Source organism: Homo sapiens, chromosome 2, assembly GCF_000001405.40.
Source record: "Homo sapiens chromosome 2, GRCh38.p14 Primary Assembly".
Classification (NCBI taxonomy): Eukaryota; Metazoa; Chordata; class Mammalia; order Primates; family Hominidae; genus Homo; species Homo sapiens.
The window spans coordinates 3,833,004-3,853,570 of NC_000002.12; the positions used below are offsets into that span (position 1 = coordinate 3,833,004).

The 20,567-nt window shown below is 41.9% G+C and overlaps 1 protein-coding gene across 6 annotated transcripts in view; it reads left to right on the plus strand.

Moving 5' to 3' along the window:
* The window catches only part of DCDC2C (doublecortin domain containing 2C), a 144,434-nt gene extending 129,429 nt beyond the window's left edge, over positions 1-15,005 (plus strand). For 2 of the 6 annotated variants that reach the window (NM_001287444.2, NM_001365580.2), the window contains one exon: positions 14,151-15,005. In NM_001287444.2, coding sequence (NP_001274373.1) covers positions 14,151-14,180 — 30 coding nt within the window. In that variant the 3' untranslated portion in view covers positions 14,181-15,005. Of the gene's footprint in view, positions 1-7,252; positions 8,366-11,005; positions 11,674-14,150 lie in introns of those variants that run through there. The other 4 variants (XM_006711894.5, XM_047445726.1, XM_047445725.1 and 1 more) reach the window with 3 other exon arrangements.
* The last annotated feature ends 5,562 nt before the right edge of the window (positions 15,006-20,567 follow it).

Sequence of the window (20,567 nt, forward strand, 5' to 3'; positions counted from 1 at the left end):
CCTTTCTGGAGGCTCTGGGGAGAATCTGTTTCTTTGCCTTTTCCAGCCTCTGTAGGCCATCCACATCCTTTGGCTTGTGGGCCCTTCCTCTGTCTTCAAAGGCAGTAACCCTGCATCCCTCTGAGCATTCTTTTGCCATCACGTTGCCCTCTGGCTCTTCTCTTCTGTCTTCCTCGTCCACTTTTAAGGATCCTTGTGATTATGTTGGGCACTCTGGATGATCCAGTATACTCGCCCTCTTTATTAGCAGCCTTAATTTCACTGCAACCTGATTCCCCTTTGCCATGCACCCTAACATAGTCACAGGTTCTGGGCTTAGGATGTCATCATCTTTGGGGGCCGTTATTCTGCCTACCTTACCCACTGAGTCTTATATGTGCTAAGCTTCTGTATCTTGTAGTCACATAAATTGAGGTTTTGGACACAAGTAGGTCTTTCATTTGCGTCTGACACATTTTGTCCTACACGTTTTGTGTGCTGTGTGCCATATACCATTTCCATTGCCATTGTGTCAGCCTTTCAGGGCTCAGAGCTTGTCTTTCAAAATATTGGCTCACCTTTTAAGCCTCATTTTATGAGCATGTCTAGCATAAGGTCCTTTGGAAGTGTACCCAAACTGAGACTATGTATTGATTATCAGCTCAATTTAGAAATGTTACTGCAGCCAAAAGATGAACATAAAGCTTATCCAGCCATGTAGGAGGTCTAGCTTACTTAAATACTTCTTTATCATTAGGACTAATGAAAATAAATGAAATGTATATTGAAGGTTTTAATAAAAAGAAACATAGTAAGTTGCAGAAGAGAGCTGAGGTTAGATGTTCAGAAGCTCTTTCCTATCATAAGGCATCATTGCTTGGCTGTAGTCTGTTAGCTTTAAGGAGTGGAGATAAGTAGCAGTCTTCTCTATCTTTTCAGGGTTTGCTCCTATGTGACAACACCGATTTTGAGTACAGAATGTTTGAAAGAGTCTGATCTCTCTTTATTTTCTATTTGTTTTTAAAATAGTCTTTATGTTTCGGAGCAGTTTTAGTTTTATAGAAAAATTGAGCAAAAAGTACAGAGATTTCCTGTTTACTCCCCCTCCTGCCCCCCCTACCTCCATCCCTGGCCCAAGCCTCCCCTGCTGTCAGCATCTCCTACCAGAGTGGTACATTTGTTACAACTGATGAACCAACACTGACCCCTCACATCATCATCACCCGAGTCCACAGTTCACATTAGGGCTCTCTCTTGGTGTTCCACATTCTACAAGTTTGGACAAATGTATAATGACATGCATTCCCCATTATAGTGTTGTGCAGAGTAGCTTCACTCTCCTAAAAATCCCGTGTCCCCCCATCCACTCCCTTGTCCCCTACAAACCTGTTGTAATCACTGTACAATGGGTCTCTTTACTACCTCCATGGTTTCACCGGTTCCAGAATGTCATAGAGTTGGAATCATACAGTGTGTACCTTTCAGACTATAAACGCTTAGCGGGAACTTCCTCCAGACATCTTTCTGCTCCACATATCTTTATTGTCTTTGCCTGCTCAGGGTCTGTGGGAGGAAATGCAGAGATCACCTGGGAGGTCACTTGCATTGCACATGAGGGAACTGAGGTTGGCATCATTGTGAGCTCACTCAGTTTTCCATGAAGATCTGTAACTTAACCTAGTATTTAAGATTCCCATTCCAGTGCTCTGTCAACATGTCAAAGGGCTATTAAGCAAGTGACTAGTTGCCGGGGCTGGGGAGGGAGCAATCTATAAATTGGTGAATAACTTGGACAGAATGAAAAGAGTCTGGCCCTGGGGAACATCAAATGTCCATCAAGTGGGATGGAGTGAGGATGGCTGAGGAAGGGAGGGAGCATCACATATTATGTGCTGGGAACAGTGCTGAGCATCGTATTCATATTCTTTCTTTTTATCCTCATGTGAGGATTGCTGTTGAAATGGTAGGTATTAGTTTTCTAAATTTGAACTAAGAGAGACTCAGAGAGGTAAATTACTTTCCCATGGCCACATAACTAGAAAGTAGGTTTTAAATCCAGATTTGTCTTGCTCCAAAGCTTCCATTATTCCCATAAATACACGAGTTTGCCTTCCCAGAGGCAATGGAAGTGCTTCTCCACTTGCCATGTAATCCATCTGTGACACCAGCCACTCTAAGGCTCACACAGGCATGATTTGGGTTGAATTTTTAAAATCTTTCTAAGAAATGCGGGGCGTTCCCTTACTTTTAAGAATGTGTGAAGAGGACAGCCAAGCCCACTCGTGGTGTTCTTGAGTCTCTTTCTCTTTTTTGAATTATTAAAGCAATTTTTATTTATTGCTAAGGAGATTTGAGGTGGTTTGCAATAAAAATAGAGATAAAAGAACATGGAAATCCTTTAAAAGAAGAATACAAACACCAAGCAATAAATTCGAAAGTCAGAGAGAGGGAAAATCAGGGCATTTGTGTGAAATAAATGACATCAGGCGACATCCTGGAGGAAGTGTTCAGATGGGAGCGTGACTCTCACTTCCCGTGGAAATCTCTAGTTCCCTGCGGCATTTCTGTTCCGTATCTGTCTCTAGGTTTAATCATTTTTGAATATTTGAGTTTCTACTTGGTGAAAGGAAGTAACAGTGAACTAGATGTCTGAAACCATCGAGGTTTTAGTCCCACTAAGATTAATACACAGTGAAACTGTGCAGGTCATTGATTTGAGGCCTTGAGTCTCATTTTTTATATTAAAATAAAAGGTAAGGACAAGATCCTTTTTTTTTTCGAGACAGCATCTGACTCTGTCACCCAGGCTGGAGTGCAGTGGCACCATCATTGCCCATTGCAGCATCAAACTCCTGGGCTCAAGTGATCCTCCTACCTTAGCCTCCTAAGCAGCTGGGACTACAGGTGTACACCACCATGGCTGGCTAATTTTTGTTATTTTTGTAGAGACAGGGTCTTGCTATGTTGCCCAGGCTGATCTCGAACTCCTGGCCTCACATGATCCTTTTACCTTGACCTCCCAAAGTGCTGGGTTTACAGGAATAAGCCACTGTGGCCAGCCAAAATCATTGATTTTTAGTATTTGAAAGAAACCATCAGAAAACATTATGGTAGGGAAATCTGACCAGCGCCACCCACCTGTGGTCAAGGATAATTTCACCAGTGATGAAGTAATGTAGATGTAATATAACTCTTGGTATGATGCAGGCACTTTATCTCTGTGGAACTGTCCCCCTCCAGTCATAATTCCAGTCTGTTTATGACACGATATCAGCTATACCCAAATTGAAGGACATTTTACAAAATACCCAACCAGTACTCCTTGAAAATATCAAGGCCATGAAAAATAAGGGAAGACTGAGAAGCTGTCACAGTTTGGAGGTAACTAGGAGACACAGTAACCAAATGCAGCATGCTGTCCTGGACTGGATCCTGGGGCAGCAAACACACGTTAGTTCGGGGGAAATCCAAATAAAGTCTGTTAAATAGTATTAACAGTTAAATAGTATCACACAAATGCTAATTTTGGTTTTGATAAAGTACCATGATTTTGTAAGGTGTTAGCATCAGGGGAAGCTGCTTAAAGAGTACACTGGTCGGCGGGGCGCGGTGGCTCACGCCTGTAATCCCAGCACTTTCGGAGGCCGAGGTGGGTGGACCACAAGGTCAGGAGATTGAGAACATCCTGGCTAACAGGGTGAAACCCTGTCTTGACTAAAAATACACAAAATTAGCCGGGCACGGTGGCGGGCACCTGTAGTCCCAGCTACTCGGGAGGCTGAGGCAGGAGAATGACGTGAACCCGGGAGGCGGAGCTTGCAGTGAGCCGAGATCGCGCCACTGCACTCCAGCCTGGGCGACAGAGCGAGACTCCGTCTCAAAAAAAAAAAAAAAGAGTACACTGGTCTTCTCTGTACTATCTTTGCAACTATCTTGTAATACTGTACTATCTTATAAATCTAAAATTATTTCAAAGTAAAACGTTAAAAGGAGGACCAGAACTCCTTTTTCCCCAAGTGGAATATAATTAAGGACCTGCTGTCTACAGAGCGGAGGAAAAAGGAATTGTTTGGTTGGAATCCTTCAGCCTTCCTTTCCGTCTCTTTGGGGCCCTCCTGCTGGACCCCTGAGACGCTTCTGAGGAACATGAGGGCACCATGGAGCTCAGTAGGAACACAAGTACACTGGCCAATCTCTTAAGGGCCTCTTCAGGTGAAAACGGTATTCGGAGTTTTGCTAAATCTGCTAAGGAGTGGCATTAGAGCAATCAGAGAACTCAATCAATCGAGTTGAATTTTGCTGATCAGGCAAAGTGAGAGCTGAGAACCGGCTTGTATTTGGCCAAATGGAAGTCATTCATAGCCTAACAACAGATGTTTCCTGTAGAAAGATGAGCATGAGCCTGATAGGAGCTGATCCAAAGAATGGAAGTAGTGGGAATGGAGACGCCAGGCACAGGGGACACTCGGAGGGAACTAGGCTGTAGGGGAGCACACACTGGGGCAGTGGCTATAGGTGCACATGGTCAAGGCTAGGTTCTTTCTGGGGGTGGGGGGCCCATGGTGAAGGCTGGGTTCTTTTTGAGGAGTTGTGGCTATTACAGCACGTCTGTTCTCATCTAAAGGGGAAGAAACTGAGGAAGAAATCAGCCTTTGGCTCCCCCTTTCTGTCACACCTACATACCTAGTCTAGCAACAATTTTGCTAGACCAGGGTTTCTCAAGCGCAACACCATTGAAATTTTGGGCTGGATGATTCTTTGAGTATCAAGAGAGGCGATAACTGCTGGGTGGACCTTCCTCAGCCGGCCAGCCGTGTGGAGTCCGTGCGTGGTGGGAGGGTTGGTCCTATGCAGGAACAGGACAGCCCCTCCAGAGTAGCACAGGAGAGGGCAGAGGATGCGGACACATATCCCGGGAGGTGAGGAAGTGTGGGGTAGGGCCTGTGGACGTCTTTTCTGAGTGCTCTTATTTTCATACACAGAGGCAGGGCCATGAACTATGAGTGTGGAGTGGGGAGGTGGAGCTTTAAAGAAAAAGGAAACAAGAAATAGTTACTTGGAAGAGTGAGCTACTGAAAGAACTGGAGAAATAACCTGGGGTTATGTCGTGGCACTAAGGAGCCCTTGAAGGTGGTGATCGCGAGTGGAAGGCATGTCCGGGGCAGGCAGTGGCTCCAGAGTTGGTAAAGGAGGATGTGGACAAGTCAGGGGTGGGAGGGTGAAATGGTGGCAGGGCTGGTGGCATAGAGGTGCTGATGAGGTAGGAGAATTGGAGCGGGGCATTAGAGGGAGAGGGCTGTAAAGACGGGAGGTTGGAATGAGGTGGGTCAGAATTCCTGGTAATCGCAGGGTCTAGGGTATGGTCTGTGGTAAGGAGCAGGATCATCAGATATGATGAGGCCAAGGCACTGAGAAACCACAATTAGAAGTTTTGTATTGAGTAACTGTTGTGGTCCCCAAGGATCATGACAGAGAGAGAGAGAGAGAGAGAGAGAGAGAGACCAAACACCAAAGGCTGACATGGGCTAAGAGTAGGAGGTGTGGCCTGAAGCTCAGTAGACAACTACTCAGAAGAAAGGGGGATGGATGGTACAATCTGATGACAGGAACTTCAAAGAGGCTGAAGGGTTTTAGGGAGGAGGATGGGGTAAAGATCTGGAGACAGTGGTGGGTGCAAGAACGGCCCCTACCCACTTCCGTGGCTGGTGGTTCAAGCGTGTGGAAGAGAAAGACATCATTTGAGAGGGTACTGTGGGGCTGTGTCCTCAGGAGAGTCACACTCTGAAGTATGTCTTAGAAGTCTGAAAAACATGTATGCCTTTTGAACCAGCTATCCACTTCTAGAAGTTTGTCCCAAGGCTACAAAATTAGAACTAAGTTCTTATTCCCTATTGCTAGACTTATTTAGGTTGCAACTTATATCAAATGGTGGGTTTATGATTTATATTTATTTCTGTTTTTTGGTTTTGCTCTGTTTTTCAGATTTTCTATGATGAGCATGTTTGAATACAGAAAATAAAATTATTTTTATATTTTAAGAATAAAAAACTACAGTGGTTGCAAGAGAGATTATTAGGTTAACCTGTTAATCTAGGGCCACAGGGGGACAGGAAAGCCTTCAAGCCACCATCAGAGATTTTGTGAATTCAAACTACTTTTTGATGTAACTTGCAGTTCCCTGTAAGGACTTGGTAAGGTCTTTGCTGATTTATTTAAAAACGTTCTAACCCACAGAGAAATCAGTTGCCTAGGTAATAGTTACCAAATACAGAAATTAAATGCTATCTATCTCCGGGTTTCTAACTTTTCACAAACTAATTATACCTTCAACCAAAACATTGGATTTATTTTCACAAATTTGAGCCTGACATCTTAATTCATAACTAGCAGCTGCTGGGGCTTCTGGCAGCTACAAAAATAAATGAAAATAAAAACTAGGTTTTAAACCGAGTATTGAATACGGTACTTACATAATATTCAAATCACATAATACTTTAAAATGTACAATTGAGGAAATTCTTTGTGGAGAAAGGCAGTGGTTTTTCTGACCTCATCCAGCTGTTATCGTTAAGTCTGATTCTTGGTGGCCTCTGACCTCACACGATTGTAATCAAAACCAGCCTGCTCTTGAAACTCTTCATTCTTGTTCGTTTTTCCCTCTGCTCCAATTTTCAGATTTCCTCAGCTGCTGCTGTTGGCAGTTTAATCTCTCCAACCAGCTCTTCTGACGGCTTCTCGAATTCCTCCTTCCCTGGCTGTCAGCTCCCGCATCTGCTCCCACACGTCTTTTTCATCTCACTCGCCAAAATGTCAGGGCTGCAGAACAGCCTCAGTCTCATTATTTGGCTACTGAGTTCAGTTAACTGAAGTGCTTATTAGCAGAAGATATCTATGTTAATTATGCCGATAGAAACTTTGACACACAGATACACTTATGGGCATATATCTAGACTAGAACAAATCTTTTCCTGCTAAGTTGCTGAATTGGCAGAGAAGCCCGTGGACTTCGCAATACCTGAAATCAAGGCAGAATTGTCGGAGAAGATGTTCAATGGGGCAGATCTGTGGAAAAGTTTTATTGCATTTATTTATATTATATTCGTGTGGATTTGTGTGTTTTATCTTGCGAGTGTTGATGTAAGTGTACATTTTTAGTTTTGGTATTTTTCATTTTAGACTGAGTATTCTACTTTTACTGCTATTTACTATTGAGATTTTACAAAGCAGCTGCTGTGTAAGCCGAGCTGGTTTACATTTGCTGGTTGTTTTGCAGAGAACACCCAGCACCTGCATTTTACTGGTCACCTGGAAAGACCCTGTCACCTCCTAAATCTCATATAGAGCAGAGGAAATGCCACTGCATGCAGCTCGCTGCCCGCTGTGAACTCCTATGAGGAAGAAGGGAAAGAAAACCTAATTCAAGTAAAATATGCTTTTCGGCGGGGGTTGGGGGAAGAAAAATAAGATAAAAATTCTGCCAGTGCCCTGTAATTTCAGAAGGTACAATTTGCATAATGTTGGCATGGCTTTCTGCGTAATAAAAGCATAGTTGTATTTTTTACTGAAATCGGCCCTAAATGCTCTCTAAACTAGTCAAAATGGTTACTTTCCAGTAATTCTTTTATCCATACATCTTACATTAAAATACCATGGTTTTACACATTTTGGTCAGCTTACTAATGTCTGGATTTTTGTTTGTTTCTTTGTTTCTGGTATCTCTCAAGAACCTCAGCAAGAGTAAAAAAGTGGTTCTGTTTCCTGGTAAGAGAACCTATGACCAGTGCTCACTCACGGAGACCTCTGTGTGATGTAGGGCACGGTGCGGGTGGCCGCTCTGCGAGTTTCGCAGTGAAAGTGTCCGCCGCGAGGCCCCGTGATTCACTACCTAGTAGGGGTGTCACCAAGCTTCCCACTGACAGGCAGCCTTCCCCATGTGCTCATGTGGACTTTGAGTAAACCATGCTCTCATGACTATGCATGGAGCCTTCTAAACTGTCTTGCATATGGCAGGTTCCAGGTCAGCTGACAAATGAAGATTTTGGCGTACCGTACGGTGGCACAATCTCTCAGTCAACAATGCGGTTTTGGCAGATTTTCCATTGTTCAATTATTTTAATCTTTCACTGCATTTATTCTTATAATATTTTGTAAAGAAAAGCTCGTGAAACTTGTGATAAGAAGTACGAGTTTCAGACGGGAGGCTTTAGACACACATGAGTATCCTTAGGGGAGACATTTTCAGCCACACTCAGGTGCCTGGTGGGTTGCAGGTTGAGTTCTGAAAGAAAACCAACAGAGCACACAGACGCACGGCAAGGAACGTCTCGTAGATGATTGGATTTAAAAGGCAAGGTGAACGCAGAAGTTTTTGAAAATGCATTTTAAACAGCACAAATATTATTTTATATTAATATTTTATATTATTTTATATTACATAATATATTAATATTCATATACATACATTTTGATATCCTAAATCTTTTTAATTCTGCACATTCTAATTTTATGTGTTTTTGGGAGTGCTTATGTGTGGGACTAGCAGACTGCTGGTTCATTCATTATTTATTTTTTATTCTTTTATTTATCAAACGTTTTCTGAGTTTCTTTCATGTGCCAGGCTGAGCTGGGCACTTCAGAAACAAAGATGAGTAAACGCAATCCCTGCCCTCTAGTCGGGGAGACAGACTTGATGCAGAGAATCATGCCCAGGTGCAGGAGGGCGCTAAGTTAGCACGCGGCGTGAGCGGCCGGGCAGGTCTTCCTGTGGGATTAGCAGAGAGTCGCTTCGCCCTCAGAGCACTCAACCCCTGCCTTTTGCTTGGCACATAGTCATACATCACTGTGTGACAGTCTTTGTATTTTCTTCTATAACCCCCGCTTTTTTTTTCTGTTTAAGCTTTTATGTGATGATGAGTATCATATCATGTATGTGTCCATTTTTTCCATTCAAAATGTGCTTTCATTGTCATGTCATCTTAATCCTACAGTTCCTAAAGATCCATATTTTTACCCCTATTTTCAAAGAGAGTTTGAAACCCAGAAGGGAAGGTGCCTTGTTCAAGATGAATCTGCAAGTGGACGGAGGCAGCAGGACTCATGTGCTATTAATCATTTTTTAAAAATAGACAATATGGAACTGCTGACCTTGGGCCAAGTGCTGTCCGGAATGTGGAGGGAATCCATTGGAATGAGACTCAGTTTTGTTTTTCTCAAGAAGCTCATGTGAATTGGGGTTTGGGCACAGATCTATGGACAAGAAAGTCTCGTAAGAGAGATAAGTGTTAAAATAGAGGTGTGTACTGGATACCCTGGAAATATACCACAGAGACAACGATTGACTGTCTGGGCCTGGGAGGGAGGCTGCAGCAATTTATAGAACGTGTTATAAAGGAGAGGACTGCGAAAATGAATTGGGAAGGGCTTGTAGGAATTTGCCAACTTGACAGGGTGAGGAAGGGGGTGGTGGGCAGAGGGGTCAGCTTAGTCAAGTGCATGGAAGAGTGAGGGTGCATTGGGGGAGTGCAACTAGTTTGGGGCAGTTGGAGCAAAAAGTGAATGTGCCTGAGGAAGGAATAGTATGTGAGGAAGATGGAGATACAGACAAGGTTCAGCTTTTAAGGTCCATCAGTGAGAAGAAGCAAGGCTAATTTGCAGTAAAAAAAAAAAAAAAAAATCAATTCCAAATCTCAGTGGCTTTACACAATAAATCCTTATTTCTTGATCACAGCAGCCTACTGTGGATTGGAGGCTTTCCTGGGTGGCTCTCCTCCACACGGTGACTCAGGGATCCTTGATTTTGTCATGCTGCTGTCCTCAACACATGGTCTCTGAGTTTGCAACAGGAGGAGAAGGAAAGACACAGGAAGCCACATTAGATACCCAGCCATCTCAGCCCAGAAGGGACACATCACGTTTCACATCCCTTTGGTCTGAACTAGTTGCCTGGCCCCGTTTAGCTGTTCTCTGTCTGGTAACACAGTCTCGGGCAGGTCCACATCTTTGGTGGTCACCTGGCCATTGTCGCCATGCCCTCGTCTGTCAATGTAAGGATTTTGGTCTTTATCCTGTAGGTAATGCTAAAGCAGGGAGATGATGTGATCAAATTTATGTTTCTAAGAAGTGGCTGTGATAGCAGGGGGAGAAGGGAAAGGGATGAGAGTATTATGTGTGTGCATCGTATTCTCTCTTTCAGGTGTGGAGTCCTGGACCCAGGCAGGGGTGGGACCCAGGGACCCAGACAGGAAGTGACAGATTCCTGGGAGTGGACAAAATGGACCGCGCTGGGCCACAAAGTGGATATGGGTGGCGAGAATGAAATTGGAGTTGAGGTTTCTGGTTTGGGTCTACGCGTTACTTCTGAAAACAAGGGGATGAGCAGGTTTTGGGGAAGGCAGTGTGTGAATGTGCCGAGTTCTCCACGTCAGCTGAGCGACCTGGCCCCTCTCAGGCTCTGCAAGGCTTCTCGCTGAAGACCTCTTTTCAAGTGTTATTTCAAATGGTTTTGTTTTCAGTTTTCAGGAGCATCTTTTTAATTTCCTCTGCCAAATGGCATTCATCCCCATAGGAAAGGTAATGTTAGCATCAGGAAATGTAGTTTGGCCGGTGAAAGGTTGATTGCTATGGGGTATTCTTCCTGAGCTCCGAAAGTTGGTTCTAATGTGTTGGGGTCTACTGTGAAGGGCATGGCCTCTGGATTCTCCTGCACTCTGATTTCTTTCTTTTTCATTTTACTAAAAATGCCTTTTCTGTTTCACTAACTCAGAAAGAGCAAGAATCTTCCCTGTGACTTTTCAATTTTTAAATGACTAATGGAATGTGTCTGTGTAATTAGCATTTGGTAACACACCTTTGATTCTAGCTTCTCTGATGGTACCTCATCATATTTTATGCTTGTTTGAGATAATGCATGCAAAAACACATTGCACTTGTAATACCCTATGTGAAAAGTATTTTTGTTAGTATTATCACTGTCACTACTAAGTCAATGATATAGCAGCAATGTTTGTCTTTTTATGATTTATTTCAGTTGACTTAGGTGGCTACTAGATTTATTGGTGATTTTGTTTTATTTTATTTACTGAAAACAAGAAAAAGAATCATATGACATTCTAGAGGAAGAAAATACACCTGTACTACTAGAAACCCCAGTAGAAATAGAAGCCCACAGAGAACCACCGATGGGACAATCACAAGAAAAATCATCACTAAGACAAGAAGAATAAACACCTGAGGAACAAGAGTCCTCTGAGCAGCCATGCCTGGGACAGCCACACTGAGAGCAGCCACCTGAGATGCCAGAGTCCCCCACGCAGCCATGCCTGGGACAGCCACACCCAGAGCGGCCACCTGAGACGCCGGAGTCCCCCACACAGCTGTCCTCAGGACAGCCACACCGAGAGCAGCCACCTGAGATGCCGGAGTCCCCCACGCAGCCGTCCTCAGGACAGTCATGCCAAGAGCAGCCACCTGAGACGCCAGAGTTGCCCATGTAGCCATGCCTGGCACAACCGTCTCAGAAACACATGATTAAGGGGTAACAAAACAACAAACACCATGAGAACAAAATGTGAACCATGTTGTGAAGAAACAGTCAAAAACTAGAAAGGATAGCAAGACAAATGAAAATAAAAGCGGACATTTTTTCACATTATACTAAAGAGGTATGCTGGTGGAATATTAAAATCATGAATTTCATATTTTGGTGGCAAGACTTTAAGTTTTTAAACACATGTTGTAAGCCGAAATTCATGTGGAATTCCTTCCTCTATTCCCTAACTGTGCAAGTCTGGGAGGGAAGAGGGTTGTTAGCGAGACTGGGTGAATCATTGCCCGCTGGGGCCGACCTTCCCTTCTTACACTGTCAACCCACACTTGGCATTCTAGAGTGACTTAGCCACTTTGCGAACGGCACATGTTTACATAGTTATCTCTAACATGTTCTCCCTTTTTAAAAGCGAATTAAGGCATATTATAATAATTATACATACCTATTTTTATCTATACACAACACACGCATCTATGTACATGCATTTGCCGATATAGGTATATATATGCCTTCTATGTCCTAAATGGACAGTAGAATCCTATGTACATTTTTGGTGGCTAAGCGAATGGACTCTCAACTCAATATACAGTTTTGGCTTCTCTCCTCTTTAAGGGTATGCACGAGGTCTGTGGCTCAGTTTAGAGCTAATAATAATAACGAACTCACAGGCTGTTGGGAAAATTACTTACCATAAGCAGAACCGTGCTGGACACACAAAAGGCACTAAGAAATGTTGGCGACTCCAGTTACTCCATTTGGGTAGTTGTCTTTTTGTTTCTGTTACCAAGCGAGAGAAGACAGGCAGAGTCACTACTAAGATGAGGCCTGCACTTGACTCCAGGTTGGCTGAGCTTCTTGACGGTTAGCACAAAGATGGCAATGGTGATTCTAGGATGGTCCAAGTCCTCTTAAAGATCAGACCAGTTTCACACCATCTGCCAATTAGTGGTATATACAGTGTTGCACATGGAAGGAGGAAGAAAAGCTATGATTTCACCATATTTGGGCTTCTTGATTTGTTGTTAGACTTGACTAGAACACTCGTAACACTTTAAGGGGGACATTTGTAATCAAATAGGAACCATTGCCATCTCATCCTGAGCAATTTTTAGTTAAGTTTCTGCTAGAGAGCACATCTACTTTGATTTGGCTCCATTCTAAGTATATGTCTTAGTGCAGGAAAAAGAACTTTGAAACTGCATTTCTAATTACTTTCGTTGGTGACTTCTTTTCCAGCTGCCCTAGTGCCTGTGATTTAGACCAGCAAGCTGCTGTGGAAGGAATGGATTAGGGCTAAGAGAACCAGGCCCTGGTCTGTGCTCCACCATTTGTTGACCACAGGGTCTTGAACAATTTCCTTTTCCTCCCTGAACATTAGTTGTCTTCTGTAAAATGAGAATGATAGTAGGATCATAGTTTGTTAGAGCTGGAAGCAAATTTAGAGATCACAGAATTCCCAACAGACATTCTACTGTGAGGTACCTGTAGGGGTTAGGTGGCTGGCCTGAAGTCACATGAGACCTGTAGCTTGGAGGGAGCAGGGACGGGACTGGAACTCATGTTTTTCTTTCCCTCCTTCCTTCCTTTCTCCCTCCTTCCCTCCTCGTCCTCTTCTTCCTCCTCCTCCTCCTACTTCTTCTTCGTCATCTTCTTCCTTCTTCTTTCTTCCCCACCCCCGTCCTCCTGTTCTTCCCTCTTCTTCTCTCCTCCCCACTCTTCCTCCCCCACTCCCTTCTTCTCCTCCTTTTCATCCTCCTCCTCCTTGTTCTTGTGACAGGGTCTCACTCTGTCGCTCAGGCTGGAGTGCAGTGCCACAATGACAGTCTCAAGCATCCTCCCACCTCAGCCTCCCGTGTAGCTGAGACTACAGGCATGAGCCACCACGTCTGGCTACTTTTCTTTTTTTTGGAGAGAGGGAGTCTTACTATGTTGCCCAGGCTTCTTCTTTTATAAAATTTGATTTCAGGTCTATTATAGTACTCTATCTTCCTTAGTATAGAATTGTTGTATGAATCAAATGGAATTAAACACTCTGAACATTTTACTAGAGGTAAAGGAGATTCATTTTACTTAATGGATACATAATTTAAAAAATTTAAAATGTCGCCTCTAGATGATGTTCACATTTTGGGGCTTAGTTTTAGAGTGGTCTTGGTACTAGGAGGATGGCTTAAATAGCTCTTCAAGAGAGTTATTCAGCACCACGTTTGAACCAAATGATCCAGATTCAAACATTGCTATAGACTCAGCACATTCAATGCTGGTTGGTCAGGATGGGGGCTGTGGAGTGAGAAGGGGGAGAAGATGAAGGAAGGGGCAGAGGAATGTGAAGCGTTGTTTTAGATAAACTGAAATGGAGTGGCCACCAGCACTGCACAAAAGCTAATTTTGAAATCAGTGTCCAGGTTTCCTGCGGCGGTTCTGCACGGCGGCATGTTGCCGTTGGGTGTGCCGTGAGGAGCTGTGTGTGCTGCAGGTCCCAGGTCCCACCCCACCCCTCCCAGGAACAACACCCAGAATCCAGAATCCAACAGAAATGCAAGCTCCTGAGAGAACCAGAAACAAACTGTGGCCAGATCACAGCTTGAAGATGTTCTCTGTTAACCTGCTTTTCTATGTCTTCCAGATGGCCCGGGAGTGGAAACCTGTAGATTAACAAAACCACCTTTATTATTACCTGAAGTCCACTTTTCTTCAACCATGGGGCTTCCACGTCACATATGGACATTTTAACAGCAAGAAAATCACATGTGGGGTGAAACTAAAGCCCCACACAGTGGTGTCTTCTCGAAAGCCAAAGACGAGGTTTCATAATTGAGCTCCATTTCTTCTTATTCCCTTTCTCAGTGATATTTCTTTTTAGTAAACATTTTAAAGAATGAAACGTGGTTCTTTATCATTAAGCCCCCAAAAGATCATTCAGAAAGTGAGAAGAATTTGAAAAAACGTGTGTATATTTTCCCCTCATGATATTTTTTTCCTGGAATGTGTACGGGAAGGTATCTCATTTATATGTAACTTGGAGGTTGTCACAAAAGCAGGTACTGATAACCTTTGCTATGTAAAGTTCAAAGTATAAAAATGTTTTACCTTCTGAATAACTAGTTCAAAGTGAAAAGGAAAAAAATCCAGGGTTCGCTGGTGACATGGTTTGGCTGTATGTCCTCACTCAAATCTCATGTCGAATTGTAATCCCCATGTGTTGGAGGAGGGGGCCGGTGGGAGGTGATTGAATCATGGGGGTGGTCTTCCCCCTTGCTGTTCTCGTGATAGTGAGTGAGTGCTCCCGAGATCCAGTTGTTTAAAAGTGTGTAGCACTTCCCCCTTCACTCTCTCTCTCCTGCTCTGCCATGTGAAAAAGATTCTTGCTTCCCCTTCGCCCTTCTGCTATGATTGTAAGTTTCCTGAGGCCTCCCAAGCCATGCCTCCTATACAGCCTGCAGAACTGTGAGCCAATTAAACCTCTTTTCTTCATAAATTACCCAGTCTCAGGTAGTTCATTATAGCAGTGTGAGAACAGACTAATACAGCTGGGAAAAGGATTTTATTAACTTATTTACTTATTTTTATGAAGGCAAAAAATAGTACCCATGTGGCTTCATTAGATTATGTGTGTGTGTGTGTGTGTGTGTGTGTGTGTGTGTGTGTGTATGTACACATGGCCTAATATATATATATCCCTCCCAGGGACACACACACATATATAATCTACCAGTCTGGGGAGATTTAACAGTCTTTAGCAAAGATTTTCCTTTCAGCAAATTATGTGTGATTTCAATTTGCTGTTTGTCTTAGGAATTTGAAGATTGTTTTGCTGAGACACACATATAGCTTTTAGCTCTCTATTTTGTTTGTGTTCTAGTCATATTTAAAGATGGTGTGGATTGTTTACCTTTATGTTTTGGTAAAAATTTATGTGCTATCAACAAGTTTAAACATTCACAATAGAAACTTAAATGTCTTCATCTCCAAGGCACTGAACATTGTCATATTAAAAGCTTAAATATATTTACTGTTATATTTATTGTTACAATAGTTTTAACTATTGGCGGCAAGATCAATAGTTGCAACTTATATTTTTGCTGATGCTTAAAAGTGTTTTAAAAGTTGATCTGCCTTACAATTTATTTTTATTTAACTCCAAGTGTTAACTCTAGATTGTTCTGAAACTTATATGGACTTTTGAAAATAGCCAGATTTTATGTGTTGTGGGGACCCATTTCCAAAATCTTTAAAGACTTTCAATAGCTTACAACCTGTGTTCATATATTCTAAATCCAGCTAGTCTTCTATAAAAAGTTGAATGGGAGCTTTTTTCTCCCGTAAAGTAATTTCATTTGTCGGGATTGTTCAGGATTGCTGTGTTAGTTCCCAAAACCTCCAGCAGTGATGCCGCAGCCCCGACACAGCAGTGACGCCGCAGCCCCGACACAGCAGTAATGCCGCAGCCCCGACACAGGTTGAAATTTCTTTTTTAAGCACACTCAAGTGGCTTAAGATCTCAAGCACTTGAAAATGCTGGAAGGCTTTTAGGAATGTTTCTGTAACTTTAAAATGTATCAATCCCCTTTTGTTTCTCTTTTAATAGGACAGTTAAAATTGGTGCATGTTTGTGGGAAAGAGATTCTTAAAATGGGAAAGTCTTTTTGTCTTCTAAGAGCCAGCCTGGGGAGCAGGTTTGAATGCTGTTGCATGTATTCCTGCTCTGGTCAGCCTACCACGTGCTCACTAACAAAAACTTGCAGATAATTAACTTTCTTTTGAGTTGCAAAAACACTAAGAACCATGGACACAATATTTCTCCTCAACGCGCCTCATTTGCTGTTTTCTTCAATTTAACGAACGTCTCTACATAGTGCCTGTATCTGAAAGCACTGCTGTGTCACTTTACTGATTTCATCGAAATCATACAGATTCCACTCTGCACCGAGGAGTTGGTGGGTAAGAAACCAACTTGCACCTTTGGGTTTATACTTGAGCCTGCATTTGCAATAGTTAGCACATTTTATGAGTCATTTTCTCTTTCATCAAACCTTTTATTTTTCATGGAAAGGCAGTTCAAAATATGGGAAATCTTATTACCACATTAGCCTCTTACAAGATGACCATTGGAAAGATTTCCCACAGAAAGTGAGGCTGCAGAGTGCCTGGTTTTCCAACACGATTATGTCTAGAATCTGTTACCTTCCTCCTTTCAGTTGCCTGATATGTTTGCTAGGTGCTTTCAATTCAATTATTATCAGATAATTATTTCAATCAGATATTATTTCAATTCAATTATCAACATATAATTTTCAATTATCTGTTAATTGAATGAATAGAAATGGAATAAGATGTAAAGCTATGTTGGTAAAAATTAAACTTTTAACTAATTATTTCATAAATTATTTCAATATTTTAGTGCCCACCAGCAGGCCATGTATGAAAAATGTAATTGTATTTTCAGGAATTAACTTGATGGCTAAATTAGAGAAGGTTGGTGAAAGTCACCTATAAACTTTTTTTCTTGTAATTTTGTATTCAGAACAATGAATGGTTTATTTTTACTGGTTGTTCACTTTTTGAAACTATAATTTGAATCAATGATCTGATTGATGTGTGCCTCTGTAGTGCCCCTTGGAGTATTTTGTTTGTCCCTCAAAAGAAGAAAATGATGAGCAAGACATATAAAATAGCTCTGTGTTCACAGAATTCATATTCTAGAAGGAGAGAGAAAAGGTAGGTGGGTCTTAGGAACAGTGCAGTCCAGTTCCCTCTTGGCTTAGTTCTCAATGGGATTAAATAATCAGTCTCACTCTAGTTTATCAGAAAAGGGAGACTCCTCCCTGGAGGAAGATATCATTGTCTTAAATACAATGCCTTGCATTCAATAAAAGATTATTAGGTATGATGAGACACAGGAATACATAACTGAAAATCAAGAGACTAAACAGACAAGAGAAACACAGGTGAGGCAGCAATCACACAGGTGTACAGATGTTAGCAAAAAGAATTTTAAAATGACAATAATATGTTCAGGAAGATAGAAGACTTTCACTGAAGAAGGAGGATCTGCAAAAAAGGATCAAAAGAAATTTTAGAACAGACACATATGATATCTGAATAATTATAAATGGAGGTGACAACATGCCAAACACAGAAGAAAACAAGATTAGTAAACTGGTGAACAGATCAATAGAAAATATCCAAACTGAACACAGAAAGAGAAAAGAAAAACAGAAAATACCCAAGTGAATATAAGGTACGTGTGGACATCGTGAAAAGGCTTAATATAGATAAAATTGGAGCCCCAGAAGGAGAGAAGAGAGAAAATGTGGCAGAAGAACAAATAAAACTTTGGGAGAAATTATCCTATGAATGTAGCAGGGAGATGGGGCAGCAGCTGGACCAAGATATGGGATCTCAGGATAGGGTTTTCAATTTCCCTTTGCTTCCTCTTTCATCTTCTTTCTGTCTTCTCTCAATGATTGATACTAGAACATGTTGTAGGCAATTATTAGAATGATATGCCACAGAAAGAGTGAGATTTTCTATTCTTAAGAAAGCCACAGGGACAGGATATAAGAAAATGTGGAGGGAGGGCTGTATGGACACTTGGTACTACTGCTGTTTGAACAGGACAGAATGAGATCTTGATACTGATGCAGGCACAATCATAAGTTAGATGGTGGTAATCTCTCTGGTTGCTTTCACATTTTCAAATGAAGCATACAGTCATGTCAGCAATTGAGAGTGAAGAGAGGATGTAACAAATTTTAAGAGAGAGCAAATGGCATGCAATAAAAGGTTAAGTAAACTTATAAGAAAAATGGACAATGATGAGTGCCAATTTAAAAGTTATAGCTTGAGATTTTGTTATTGGAAAGTGATCCTGATCCAGACCCCAACAGAGAGTTTTTGGATCTTGCACAAGAAAGAATTCAGGACCAGTCCACAGTGCAAAGTGAAAGTAAGTTTACTAAGAAAGTAAAGGAATAAAAGAATGGCTACTCATAGCCCTTGGGGCTGCTGATTGCCCATTTTTATTGTTATTTCTTGATTATATGCTATTAACAAGGGGTGGATTATTCATGCCTCCCCTTTTTAGACCATATAGGCTAACTTCTTGATGTTGCCATGGCATTTGTAAACTATCATGGTGCTGGTGGGAGTGTAGCAATGAGGACGATCAGAGGTCACTCTCGTTGCCATCTTGGTTTTGGTGGGTTTTGGCCAGCTTCTTTACTGAAACCTGTTTTATCAGCAAGGTCTTTATGACCTGTATCTTGTGCCAACCTCTGATCTCATCCTGTAACTTAGAATGCCTAACCATCTGGGAATGCTGCCCAGTAGGTCTCAGCCTCATTTTACTCAACCCCTATTCAAGATGGAGTTGCTCTTGTTTGAATGCCTCTGACAATTTGAAAAGAAAAAATGGAAGGGAAAATAAGGATGATAAATTCATCAAGTTGGAAACTGAGAGAGCATTCTTTGAGACAAAGTTGGCAATCTTAGAGGACAGCTTAGGGAGGCATGAAAGAGAGTATGTGATATTTTCAGATTTCAGGAAATATTTTAATAATGAAGGCTAGGGTTGATAGTTATAAAATTGCTTTTAAAATATAAGACTAGGAAAAAGATTGTAAGTTGCTAATATCAGGAAAAATGATGGGGCCTAATGAAGTACAACATGAAGAGAAAGAAAGTTTAAGGGGATAATATGGATTACTTCTTTAAAGGGATTCTTGAGTGAAGAGCCTCTGGGAGGACACTCCTTGAAGCCACTGGCATGGAGTCAGTAGTAAGTACTGTTGGACATCATCTTTTAAAGACTTAGGATTATATCAAGTTAGATTTGAGAGGACCGAGACACTAAGAATAGAGTACTTCAAGTATTATTCCATGAATTGAAGATGATACAATATTTTAGGCAGGGCATCAGATTTAGCATTTGCCCTTGGAAAATATGCATGGATAGTTTATAGACTTAGGGTTCTAAGGAAAGGTACAGACAGCAAGAGAGCTACTGAAAGAGAGGCAGGCAGGATAATGATAGGTTAAGTCTCACCTGGGGTAAAGGGAGGCTTGGTGAGCAAATATTTCCTGGTGGAATTATACAACATCAGAGTTGAAAAGACACAAAGTGTGTTTGAATAATAGATGCCTTGGCAGCATGAAAACTCATCAATTTTACATGTCTTACTGTGGGAGATCCCATAAGGCAAAAACTATAGAAGAATGTCAAAAAACAAATATCTGTGTCAGAAAAAAAAGGGAACCAAAGAAGGCACCCTGATCTGACAGTGTCAGAACCTACTTGGAGCACACAAGAGAAAGTGAGAAAGTAAGTAAAGAGGGGTATTTGAAATGTCTGCTGAGCCTTCCAAGCTGAGCAGCAGAAACCAGAAAGAAAAGAAACAATAGAAATATATTTCCCTTTTACAGAAAAAAGTATGGGCAAAGAAACTATTTTTGCTACCATAAAAGTGGCAGAGGAAGGCTGGGAAAAATCAGAAGCCTTCTTCCAAAGTTCTGGGAGGAGTATATGTTGTCCAAGGATTGCTGTTTGGGAGTTCTTTTTTTTCAGATATTTCTTATTTTCATGCTCATGGTGACTGTTTTTGTGACCGCTGTCCCAGTGGTGATTCTCTTTGTGCTTCTGGTTTTACTATAGTGTTTAGTAATGGGTGTGAATCTTAGTGAGATTCCCTTGTTTGTGAGGAGTTACTTCCTTCTTGTTGTTTTTGAGATTCTCACTTTGTGTTTTGATAGTTTGATGATGATGTGTCTGGGTACAGATCCCTTTGAGTTGTTTATTCTACTTAGAGTTTGTTGAGCTTAGTATTAAGCTAATGATTGAACAGAGATTTCCTGAAATGTTTTGATTCAATGTCTCTAGTCTATTCTGAGGGGGTTCCATATGTGTGTTGGGGCACACCTTCAATATTCCAGCAGTGAGTTTACAACTCTGCCTTAGCCTTCACTTCCTGCTTGTGCAGAGCCTCAAGGTCAGCTAGAGGTGAGGGTTTAGGGCCTTCTCAGGTCTTTCCTGGGCATGCATACA